The 12,109-nt window shown below is 42.5% G+C and overlaps 1 protein-coding gene and 1 non-coding gene across 11 annotated transcripts in view; one reads left to right on the top strand and one right to left on the bottom strand.

Moving 5' to 3' along the window:
* ARHGAP44 (Rho GTPase activating protein 44) overlaps window positions 1-12,109 on the bottom strand; it is a 202,146-nt gene that overhangs the window by 69,849 nt on the left and 120,188 nt on the right. For 9 of the 10 annotated variants that reach the window (NR_135569.2, NM_001321167.2, NM_014859.6 and 6 more), the window contains exons 5-6: window positions 5,784-5,895; window positions 1,964-2,040 (exon numbers count right to left, since the gene is read on the bottom strand). Coding sequence is in view for 7 of the 10 variants with exons in the window: in NM_001321167.2 (NP_001308096.1) it covers window positions 1,964-2,040; window positions 5,784-5,895 (189 nt within the window). In the remaining 3 variants the exon portion in view is untranslated. Of the gene's footprint in view, window positions 1-1,963; window positions 2,041-5,783; window positions 5,896-12,109 lie in introns of those variants that run through there. The other variant, XM_047437222.1, reaches the window with a different exon arrangement.
* MIR1269B (microRNA 1269b) lies at window positions 4,453-4,527 on the top strand. The gene has a single exon (NR_039747.1). It is a non-coding gene; the product is annotated as a microRNA 1269b (primary transcript).

The raw sequence follows: 12,109 nt of genomic DNA, 5'->3' as shown, positions 1-12,109 counted from the left end.
ACCCACGAATGTTACTCCTTGCGTCCAGGTGAAGAAAATGATATTCTGGGAGATTAAGTGACTTGACCAAGGTCACATATCTAGAAAATAGTTGAAATCTGAACCTTGAAATCTGACCTTCTGAACTCTGTATGCTACATCTCTTTGCCCAAATATATTCTGTTTCTTTATTTCAAGAAAATGAAAACAAGCTGTGAAGATGATTAAAATTGGCCTACTCTGGAGTCTGAAACTAGCCTGCGCAACACAGTGAGACCCTGTCTCTACTAAAAATAAAAAAATTAGCCAGGTGTAGTGGCACATGCCTGTAGTCCCAGCTACTTGGGAGACCTGAGGCAGAAGGATTGCTTGAGCCCAAGAGTTCAAGAGTGCAGTGAGCTATGATCACATCCCTGCACTCCAGCCTGAGTTACAGAGTGAGATCCTGTCTCAAAATTTTTAAAAATAATAAAAATTTCCCAGCACTTTGGGAGGCTGAGGTGGGCAGATCACTTGAAGTCAGGAGTTCGTGAACAGCCTGGCCAACGTGGCGGAACCCTGTGTATACTAAAAATACAAAAATTAGCTGAGCGTGGTGGCAGGTGCCTGTAATCCCAGCCACTCAGGAGGCTGAGGCAGGAGAACCACTTGAACCTGGGAGGCGGAGGTTGCAGTGAGCAGAGACCGCGCCACTGCACTCCAGCCTGGGTGACAAGAGCAAATCTTCATCTCAAAAATAAATAAATAAATAATACATTAAATAAAAAAATAAAGTTGGTCTACGAAAAACCTAAGGTAGAACCAAATAGTTCTTTCCATATTAATACTCACGCACCTGCCTTTTTCAACTTATATACACATATCCCACTGTAAAAAATAAAAGGACATATGTGCACAATTCCTGCTCTGACAGCCACAGGCAATGCTGTCTCAGGGCCTTTGGCACCCGCCTGCTACTACAGGAATTTTCTGGTGGACTCTGGAAGATGGGTGTGGAAGAACAGCCCTACAGGTACTTGACTGCTCTCTGAAAGGACTCAAGTTAAGAGAAAGGCTACAGAAAGCAGACACCTACACCATCAGCTTCAGGAAAAGGTGAGTGAGTCTCCAAAATGCGAAATTTCCTGTAATGGACAGGACATAGCAACCATCCTACCTCCTGGCTCTCACCTCCTACTTCTCTTCCCTTTGCTCCTTCCGCCCCAGCCATGCCGACCTTCCTTCTGTGCCTTGAAGAGGCCTTTGCATTTGCTGTGCCCTCTGCCATAGATGCTTTGCACCAGATCTCTGTAAGGCTGCCACCTTCTCATCATCTAAGTCTAAGACCAAAATGACCCACCTCAAAAAAGCTTTTTCTCTTTTATCCTTAATGCTGTTGCTCCCTTTCTCCATCATCGCCTTCCAAAACTACCCTGTGTTACTTTTTTTTTTTTTTTTTTTGAGATGGAGTCTTGCTCTGTCGCCCAGGCTGGAATGCAGTGGCATGATCTCGGCTCACTGCAAGCTCCGCCTCCCCGGTTCACACCATTCTCCTGCCTCAGCCTCCCAAGTAGCTGGGACTACAGGCACCCGCCACCATGCCCGGCTAATTTTTTTGTATTTTTAGTAGAGACAGGGTTTCACCATGTTAGCCAGGATGGTCTCGATCTCTTGACCTTGTGATCCGCCCGCCTTGGCCTCCCAAAGTGCTGGGTTACAGGTGTGAGCCACTGCACCCGGCCACATTTTTTATATGACATATCTTTCTAGAACTGTCTTGTTTCTTCACTTGCCTAGTGTCTACCTCCAAAACTCAACTGCAGCCTTCATGAGAACAGGGACCCAGTGTCTCGAGTTCACTGTGACTACCTCCAGTGCCTGGTACACGTTAGGTGTCCAGAAAAACTTGGTGAATGAAAACACAATTGCCTACTTAAAACCCACCCGCCCAAAATATGATCACTGTCCCTTCAAAGAAGCAAAAAAGAAAGTAAAGAGATTCTACCTGGTTCGTGAGGAATCCATGTCCAGCACCAACTTGGCTAAGTGTTTCCTCTGCTTTTGAATATTTGGGATTTCCACCTGTGGTTACACAACATAAAAGATACAATTAAACTGAAGCTCAAGATAAATTCTTTAGGAACCATTCCTGGCCAGGCGCGGTGGCTCATGCCTCTAATCCCAGCACTTTGGGAGGCCAAGGCAGGTGGATCACCTGAGGTCAGGAGTTCGAGACCAGCCTGGCCAATATGGCGAAACTCCGACTCTACTAAAAATACAAAAATTAACCAGATGTGGTGGCATGCGCCTGTAATTCCAGTTACTCGGGAGTCTGAGGCAGAAGAATCACTTGAACCCAGGAGGCAAAGGTTGCAGTGAGCCGAGATCACACCACTCCACTCCAGCCTGTGTGACAGAGCGAGACTCCGTCTCAAAAAAAAAAAAAAAAGAAGAACTATTCTTAAAGAACTATTGGAAGTCACCCAACAAGTTTACTAGCGGTCTCGCAATCCTTATTTTCAGATGAAATCCTTTTTTCCCTTTTGTGTTACTGAGGTCTAACTAATAGGAATTGTATATATTTCAGGTGTACGGTTTAATGGTTTCATATGCACACATTGTGAAATCATTACTACACTCAGGCTAATTAACATATCCATCACATCCCATAGTTTCTATTTTCTTTTTTTGATGGTGAGTACGCTGAAGATCTATCCTCTTAGCAAATTTCAAGTCTACAATACAGTATCATTAACCATCGTCACACAGTGCTACACATCAGGTCTCCAGAATTTACTCATCTTGCTTAAGGGAGACTTTGTACCCTTTGACCAACATCAGATGAAATTATTGATGCCCTTTCCTGAGCTAAACTCTGCTCCATCTTTGCTGGACACCAGCCAGGCTCTCCATCAAGCCAGACCATCTCACAGGTCCTGTGCTTCTCTGCTCATGCAGGCCTGGCCACTTTCCTGCCCTCACCTTGCCCCCAACTCCCGCCCTGCCAAAAAAAAACCAGGGCTCAACCACATCCCTCTTTACTTCCAGAAGGGCCAAAAGTGGGGAGAAATGAAGGGAGCCACGCAGTCATGTCTGACACAGACCTGAGGCAAAATGGACAGCTGAAGGAGGAAGAGCGTGGAGAGGCTATGGCTGCATCTAGGATACAGATTCTATATTTATAAAAAGAAAGGAAGCAAATGTTTATATTTATAGAAATAAAGTAAGACTTTTCCAGTCAATAATGAATAAACATTGCCATCATGGCTTTTCTCGGCTACGAGTTCTTCCATTTTGGTTGTATGTAGATGCTCTTTTTATATTTTTTCATTCTAAAAATGGCTTCACTGAACATCCCAGTGCAGGATTTTGGTTCCGGGCCCAGCAAAAGTAGGGCAGGATGTGAGAATGCAAAACGAAAATTGGCCGAAAATTGAACTAAAATCATCTCGGGCTGCGGTTTTTATATAAGGAAAAAATTCGAGGAGAATCCAATGTTCTCTGAAGTGCTTTCTATTCACTCTCCCGAGCAGGGATGAGTAATGTTCTGCGTGTAACAACTTCCAGTAGGAAGGAGAAGTGTAACTGTCCCCAGGCAACCTGAGTCACCACCCAGCTCCGAAGCTAAGCTGGAGGGCCACTGGGTATCTTGCTTGAGCCAAGTGACTGTCAGCACCCACAACGGACTTGCTCCTTGGTTTGCTTTAGGCTTTGGCCAGACCCGGGACCCTCCTTTTGAGGCACAGAGGGGACCTCGTGAATGCTCCAAGCGAGGAGATGACTTGAGAAGCTGAGAGCTGGTCAATCCCAAAGAACTTCATCCACGATTTTCTCCTTGAATAGTTTCAGGTCCATAAGTAATTACCGGCCCATACCTCTGTCCCAGAGAGAGTGTCAGGGGATGTGGAGGTGCTCGTTGTGGTTCAGAGAGGAAGCCAGACAGGGTCTAGGGCAAGGCAGTTTAATACAGTAGCCTCTAACCGCACGTAGCTATGAAATTCTAAATTTAAATTAACGAAAATTAAAGAAACTAAAAAATTGAGTTCCTGAATCGCACTGGTGCTCAAAAACCACTTAAGGGCAGTGGCTATCAAACGGCACAGATTGAGAATATTTCCATCATTGTAGGGAGTCTGCGAGGGTTAATTTTAGGTGTCAACTTGGCTGGACTGATGGATGCCTCAAAGGCTAGTGACGTATTTTTCCGGGTGTAGCTGAGAGGGTGTTTCCAAAAGAGACCAATGTGTGAGTCAGCAGGCTGGGAGAAAGACCCACCCACAATGGAGCGGTACCATCCAATTAGCTGAAACACACAGGTGGAAGAAGGAGGATTCTCTCTCTGCTCTCTCTCTCCCTCCCTCCCGTAGTGAGATGCCTTTTCCCCTCATCAGACTCCAGGTTCTTTGACATTTAATGGGGGTCTCTCTGGCTTTCCACCTCATATTCGGGGCTGCACGATCAGCTTCTGAGGTTCCTGGACTGAGTTTCGGGTTCTGAGGTTTCTGGACTGAGCCATGCTACTGGCTTCTCTGGTTCTCCAGCTTACAGATGGCTTATCATGGGACCTCTCCCCCTCTGTGATTATGTGAGCCAACTTCCCCTAATAGGGGAGAATCCCAACTTCCCCTAATAGGGGAGAAACCCCTCTCATATATCCTGTTGGTTCTCTCTCTCTGGAGAACCCTGACTAATACAGAGTTCTAGGGGATAGTGCTGGTTAGATTTTATATAGATGGAGTGTCCCTTATCTGAAATGCTTGGGACCAGAAATATTTGGGATTGGGAGTTTTTGGGATTTTGGAATATTTGCATCATATTTACCGGTTGAGCATCTCAAATCCGAATATGTGAAATCCAAAATGCTCTAATGAGCATTTCCTTTAAGAATCATGTTGGTGCTCAAAATATTTCAGATTTCGGATTGTTTCAGGTTTGAGATGCTCAATCTATTAACAGATGACGAATTAAAAACAACTGAGAGGGATTCAGGGTTCAAAGCTCCCCAAGCATTTCCTATCTCCCGTGAGAAGCTTTCACTTGGCTGAAGCTAGCAAAGTTTTCACATAGGCATTAAGGTTGCTTTTTAATAAAATAGTTTAATTGAGTGTCCTTTAAAGTCCAAAGACAAGGGACCCATATAAACATACACTGCAGCTGGGCACGATGGCTCACGCCTATAATCCCAGCACTTTGGGAGGCCAAGGCGGGTGGATCGCCTGAGGTCAGGAGTTCGAGACCAGCCTGGCCAACATGGTGAAACCCCGTCTCTACTAAAAATATAATAATTAAATGGGCATGGTGGTGGGTGCCTATAATCCCAGCTACTTGGGAGGCTTGAGACAGGAGAATCACTTGAACCTGGGAGGCGGAGGTTGCAGTGAACCATGATCGTACCACTGCACTCCAGCCTGGGTGACAGAGCAAGACTCCATCTCAAAAAAAAAACATAAAACTGCAGGAGGCCTGGGCCCCCAGAATCCTAGTAAGGAGTGGCTGCTGTTCACAGCACTGAAGACTTGAGATGGGTGGAAGGTGGGGATGAAGGCAGTCGAGGCTGTGGGTGGGGAAGCGGGTAAGCTGCCAGCTTTCCACCTTACTTCTAGGAATGCCTGCAGGGAAGAGAATGGGTAGGAGAAGGGGTAGCAAATGCTAAAAGGACATATTTGGGAATCTTGACCATGTGGTTAGGTAAGAATCCCTGATGAAAAACAATGTTGGGGAGAAGGTTAAGGGAAAGAAGTAGAATGCTGGAAACAGAATGATTGAGGGGCTCCTGTTCGGTACCTCCTTGCTCTTTCAGGCCTGGCCTCACTCCTGCTGCTTACCTCCGCCAGCAAAAACAGGGGCTCAATCACGTCTCTCTCTACTTGCAACTCAAAATGTATCAGCTCCTGAGCCAGCTTGTCCTCCGTCTCTCCACAGAGTTTCAGCATCTTCCTGTAATCCAAGGGGGAAAGAAATAGTGAATACTCTTGAAGACAACATTTCACTGGCGTTACCCTCCCCTCACCTCCTGGCTCACTTGTAAACTTTCACAAGTCAGTGTTAATAAGCTGGCTGATCTCCATGGCTTCCCCTGGGCCAACCTGTTCCAGCTCTCTGCATTTCTGAAATAATCAATTCTTCCAAAAGGTGCCACTCATTGTGTGCCTGGGGCACAAGGGGAAATGTGGGGAAACATGAGAGAGAAAACAGACACACATGCCTATAAACACATGCTTCTATCTCTGAGGAGAACATTGGATAGCTAAAATCTGCCCGCTAAAAAAACATCATCTTCAAATACAAAGCAAAAGCTCAATTTCAATAGGTCCTGATAGAAAGAAAGCCCTGACTCCTAAGCCACGAAAATGTAATTAGTACATGGATATATAGACAATTATCCAATGAAAAAAAATCCAAAAGTTGATTAATAATGAGCAAACGACAGAAGACCTGAATGAGTAGAAAGTCATGCCATCTTCCCAGATGACACAATATACTATTTCAAAGATGTTAAATTCTACCCAAATTGTACACAGGCCATTCTCCCATTGTCTGGTACCCATTTTAACTAAAACTCAAGTAAAAAGTTATTACAAACCAGCCTGGGCAACATGGTGAAACCCCGCCTCTACTAAAAATATCAAACTCAGCTGGGCATGGTGGTACATGCCTGTAGACCCAGCTTCTCTGGAGGCTGAGGCACGAGAATCACTTGTACCTGGGAGGCAGAGGCTGTAGTGAGCCTAGATAGTGCCACTGCACTCCAGCCGGGGTGACAGAGCGAGACCCTGTCTCAAAAACACATAAACAAACAAAAAAGCTTTTACAAGTCAACAAACGTATGAGCAGAGGTAACTGCCTTTTTACTGTGAGGATATTCCTTTCCTGTTCAGATTTTCACATTTTTACTCTACATGTATGTGTCCCCATACAATATATAATACTGCTGCTTTGCTTAGTTCAGTCTACATGCATGGTTTTATACTGAGCATATCCTGATGCTACTTGCTTTTTTTGTTTGGATTTTTTTTTTGAGGTTTTTTTTTTTTTTTCTTGAGATGGAGTTTCACTCTTGTTGCCTAGGCTGGAGTACAGTGGCACGATCTTGGCTCACTGCAACCTCCGCCTCCTGGGTTCAAGCCATTCTCCTGCCTCAGCCTCCTGAGTAGCTGGGATTACAGGAGGCTGCCACCACACCCGGCTAATTTTTTGTATTTTTAGTAGACATGGGGTTTCACCATGTTGGCCAGACTGGTCTCGAACTCCTGACCTCAGGTGATCCACCCACCTCGGCCTCCCAAAGTGCTGGGACTACAGGCAGCCTTGCTTTTTTACTCTATCATTATGTCTGGAGCTTACCCATGTTGGTACATGCGGAATCAGATCATTTTGCAATGGAGAATTTCGTTCTTTGAATATACCACCATTATGTTAAGCTGTCCCACAAACAAGAGTTTTTGGCTATTACATGCAGCGCTTCAGTAAATATGCTTGTGCAGTCTCTTTGTGCATGTTTGGAAATTTCACTAGCACAAATGGGAGTTCCCATTGCCCTATGCCCTTGCCAACCCTTGGTCCTGGTAGGTGTCTTAATTTCTGTTAAACTGGTGGATACAAATTATTATCTCCTTCTGGTTTTAATTTACATTCCTTGACTGCTAGTAAGACTTAATATCCCTCTCCCATGAAGTGCCTGTTCATATTCCTTGGCTATTTTTGTATTAGGATCTATTTATTTGAATTTATTTGTAGGAACTTCATATACACACGTGTGTGAAGGCAGATTTTCACTCTTTTTCCTATCTGCTACAAATGTCAGTGCCCAGGTGTGCTTTTATCTTTGTATGTCTTTAATGGTGCCTTTTTTTTTTTTTTTTTTTTTTGAGACAAAATCTCACTCTATCACCCAGGCTGGAGTGCAGTGACGCGTACTTGGCTCACCACAAACTCCACCTCCCGGGTGCAAGCAATTCTCTTGCTTCAGCCTCCCGAGTGGCTGGGATTACAGGTGTGCACCACTGCACCCAGCTAATTTTTTATATTTTTAGTAGAGACAGGGTTTCACCATGTTGGCCAGGCTAGTCTTGAACTCTGGACCTCAGGTAATCCACCTGCCTCGGCCTCCCAAAGTGTTAGGATTACAGGCGTGAGCCCAGGTAATCCACCTGCCTCGGCCTCCCAAAGTGTTAGGATTACAGGCGTGAGCCACTGCACCCAGCTTAATGGTGTCTTATATCTGATTTTCTGGTATTTATTCCATATTTCTAATACTACTTAATTAAAAAAATTTAAATATTAGCTATTAACATTACAGAAAATGAGAATTTAGCTATGTTTCCGTTTCCATTTCCCCTCCCTCCCTTTATTCATATTAATAAATGCTTATTATTTATATTACACTTTGACTCCATATTATTTGGAGTTAATCTGGGTAGTATACTATAATTACTGGTTTCCCTGCACACTTATTTGTTCTCCCTGGAGTTAATAATTGCCTTGTTTTGGCTTGCTTGTTTTCTACGTACCCAATCGAATTCAAAATACTCTGCCACTTTCCTAGTTTGTCTGTTAAGATATTGAACCAAAATTTGCTTAACTTGATTAAAAAAAAATTAAACCTCATCCTAAGCAGTGATAAACATCACATTTATGAGTTTTGTGTGCTAATTTTTTTCTTCTGTTATATATTAAAATAAAAATATTACCAAAAAATATTGAACCACACATCATGTAAATGAATTTCATCTTCTTGAATTAATCCCTCCTGGACCTGTCTCAATGCGGATTGAGTTTTCCTGTATCCCTAAGGCACATCTGTCTTCCTGGAATCTTCCTTCACCATTCCCTGGGATTCTCTTCCTCTGTCTTGTATTGGACATTCTGTTATCTTGAGTCTACCTTTCTTTTGGTCACTTCCTCACCAAGGACACATCTTGCTGTCTTGCTTTAGCTTGCTGAGAAAGAATAGGTGGGAAGTCAATTTCTGAGGCCACGTATGTCACGGTATTCTCCTCTGCCCTCTCGTTGATTGAAACTTGGGCAGAATATTGAACTCCTAGGCTGAGCATGGTTTCCTTCAGAATTTTAAAGGCACTGCTTAATAACCTTCTTTCTTCCATTGCTGCTTTTGCTCAGTCTGGAAGCATTCGCATTTCTGATCCTTTGTATGTGACATGTTTTCTCTCTAGAAGGTTGTAGACTCTTTGTCACCAGTATACATGATGGTGAGCTCTGTGGCATACGCTTAATTCTTCCCATTGTATTGGAGCTCAATGGGCCTTTTCAGTATAGAAACTCATGTCCTCAAGATCCGGAATATGCTGTTGGATTATTTATTATTATTTCTTCCTCTTCTTTTCTAAGAACTCCTGTTTTTCGGGCATAAGACTTCCTGGATTGATCCTCTAATTTTCCAATTTTTTCTAATTTTCTAAAATTTTCTAATTTTTTAATTTTCTAATTTTTTCTACTGTCTGTGTGTTCTATTGTCTGAGTGTATGAGGATTTCTTCATATTTATCTTCCCAACCTCCTGAGAATTTCATATCTTCTATCATATTTTCTCATTTCTACAAGCTTGCTTTTGATCTCTGGCTATTTCTTTCCCATAAATATTTTGTATTAACATCCTGTTTTTCATTTCATGGACATGTTATCTTCCCTTACCATTTGAAAACACAAGTGATTGTTCTCCTAACCTTTTTTCCTCCCCTACACAATCTGTTTCTTCCAAGCTGCATTGTATCCACCCAATTGTTTTGGTCTCCAGGTTTCAGGTTAGAGACTTTCCTCAGATGTCTGATGATCTTTGGTGCCTCTCTATATTCAAGAGTGGAGACTAAAAAGTTCAGAGTATGTGAATTCATCTGTAGAAAGACGTGGTTGCGTCACTTATTGAGGCACTGACCCCCTCCAACATCCTCAGATCTTTAGGTCCTTCCTTTTGGACTAACCTGATTCTCCTGAGAAACCTCTTCTAATTTCCTGCTTAGAGGGTAAAGTCCTGGGGGGCTGCATGAGTGGAAGAAGACGGCTGTGGAGTATTAGCATCCACATCCAGTACACATTAGATCACTCGAGCCTCTTCTTTACTGAATGGTACCCATACACTCCACTGCACCGGGAGTCCCCCATTCTAGAGATGCTCTCTTATCCCCTCTAGAGAATTCTGCTCAGGCGGGAGTCGGGGGATGACAGGTTCCTAGACATGTGGTTGGGGCAGAGTTTAGTGATCCAAGTGGTAACTGAAAAGCTTTCAACCACATTCGTGAGTTTAATCACCCACTCCACCCCCAAAGACCCACTATTCCAGAGATCCCTGGTGCCAATTCTTGAGCACTGTAAGCATTACGTGATGTAATTTACATGGGATCTTTGCATATCTACTTCTGGCTTGGGAGTCAGCTTTTGGGGACTTGCCAAGTTAGTTCCCAGTCATTCATATGCTTTACAGCTCACAAAACTGTGTTGCTGTTGTCTGCTTTTTCCTGCCATTGTGGGTTTATGTCTTTTAAGGAAAAAAAAAAATCTCCATATTGTAGTTTTAGCGGATTTTGGAAGGAGAGAAAATCAGATGCATGTTCAATCTGTCATCTTTATTTCCAACGTTACTCTGTCATTATATTATAGGCATGACTCTTGGAAATACCATACAACAGGATTTCATGTCTGTCAACCTGAAATTTTCTTTGAACAGTTGAGTTTATTCCATTTACATCTCCTATGATTGCAGAGATATATGCAATGATTGCTACCACCCTCATTTTCTGTTTTCCAATTATTATGTGGTTTTTTTTTTTTTTTGGTTACTTTTTTCTCTTGTAGTCCCTTCCATGTATTTTTTTTTATTTTCCTTTTCATCCTTTGTTAGTTTGAAAGTTATATATCCTATTTCTATTCTTTTTGTGGTTAGTCTTAGTTTTATAACATGCATATTTGACACTAAATTTATTTTATTTTTTTATTTTTTGGATGTTAAATTTAAATGTAATACCTTTATCCTCCTTTCAAACAATACAGGAGCTTGAAATACTGATTCTGCCACCACAGAAACGTAAAAGTCCTTCTCTTTTGTCTTGTCACTTCTCTAAAAAAATATCATTCTTTGTTAAAATGCTACATAAGCACTCCTGTAATCCCAGTACTTTGGGAGGCCGAGGAGGGTGGATCACTTGAGGTCAGGAGTTCATGACCAGTCTGGCCAGCATGGTGAAACCCTGTCTCTACTAAATATACAAAAATTAGCCCGGCGTGGTGGCACCCGCCTATAATCCCAGCTACTCGGGAGGTGGAGGCAGAATCCCTTGCACCCGGGATGCAGAGGTTGCAGTGAGCTGAGATTGCGTCATTGCACTCCAGCCTGGGTGACAGAGCAAGAATCTATCTCAAAAAAAAAAAAAAAAAAAAGGCTACATAAGCCCATGTTCTATCCTTTGATCTACTCATCCCTGAGTTCTTCCATGTGTATGTACTACACATTTTAATAAAATTTATTTGCTTTTCTCCTGTTAATCTACCTTTTGTCAATCTAACTTTCAGGGCCCAACCAAAGAACCTAAGATGTTTAGAGAGAGGAAAAAAAAAAAAAAAAAAGTTTCCTCCCCTACAACACAATCTTTTTCCTACCTTGGTACTTGTACTTCTCATCTTTCTTCTGTTTCTGTGAAAGAGATGTAATCTATTTCATGTAGCCTTAACTAGTCCTTTCAGTGAGAATATGCAGGTAGTATCTTCTTCAAATCTGCCTGAAAATATCCTTACTCTTCCCTATTTTATCATAGAATACTAGGTTTCTTACATTTTCGCTCAATACTTGAAGATATTACTCCATTATCTTCTGGCATTCATTGTGGCTGACGAATACATAGTTTGTTAACAGTTTAATTGCTATTTTATAGTAATGATCTTTTTTCCCTCTGGTCAATTTTACATTTTTCTATTTTTTGTTGATAATCTGTGGTCTTACTACAATATGTCCAGGGATGCATTTTTTTCTTGTTGATCTCAATCAAATCATTTTGTGCTCCTTAAATCCAAAGACATGTTTTTCTTTAAATCTGGAAAAGAAAAATTCAACCACAAACTTACCTTTCTCCCTATTTTCTTCCTCAGGAATTCCCACTAGATGGAATGTTAAGCTTTTGCATTCTATCACCCATGTTTCTCAG

The sequence above is a fragment of the Homo sapiens genome, chromosome 17, assembly GCF_000001405.40.
Source record: "Homo sapiens chromosome 17, GRCh38.p14 Primary Assembly".
NCBI classification, from domain to species: Eukaryota; Metazoa; Chordata; class Mammalia; order Primates; family Hominidae; genus Homo; species Homo sapiens.
This window is presented reverse-complemented; position numbering and strand designations above follow the sequence as displayed.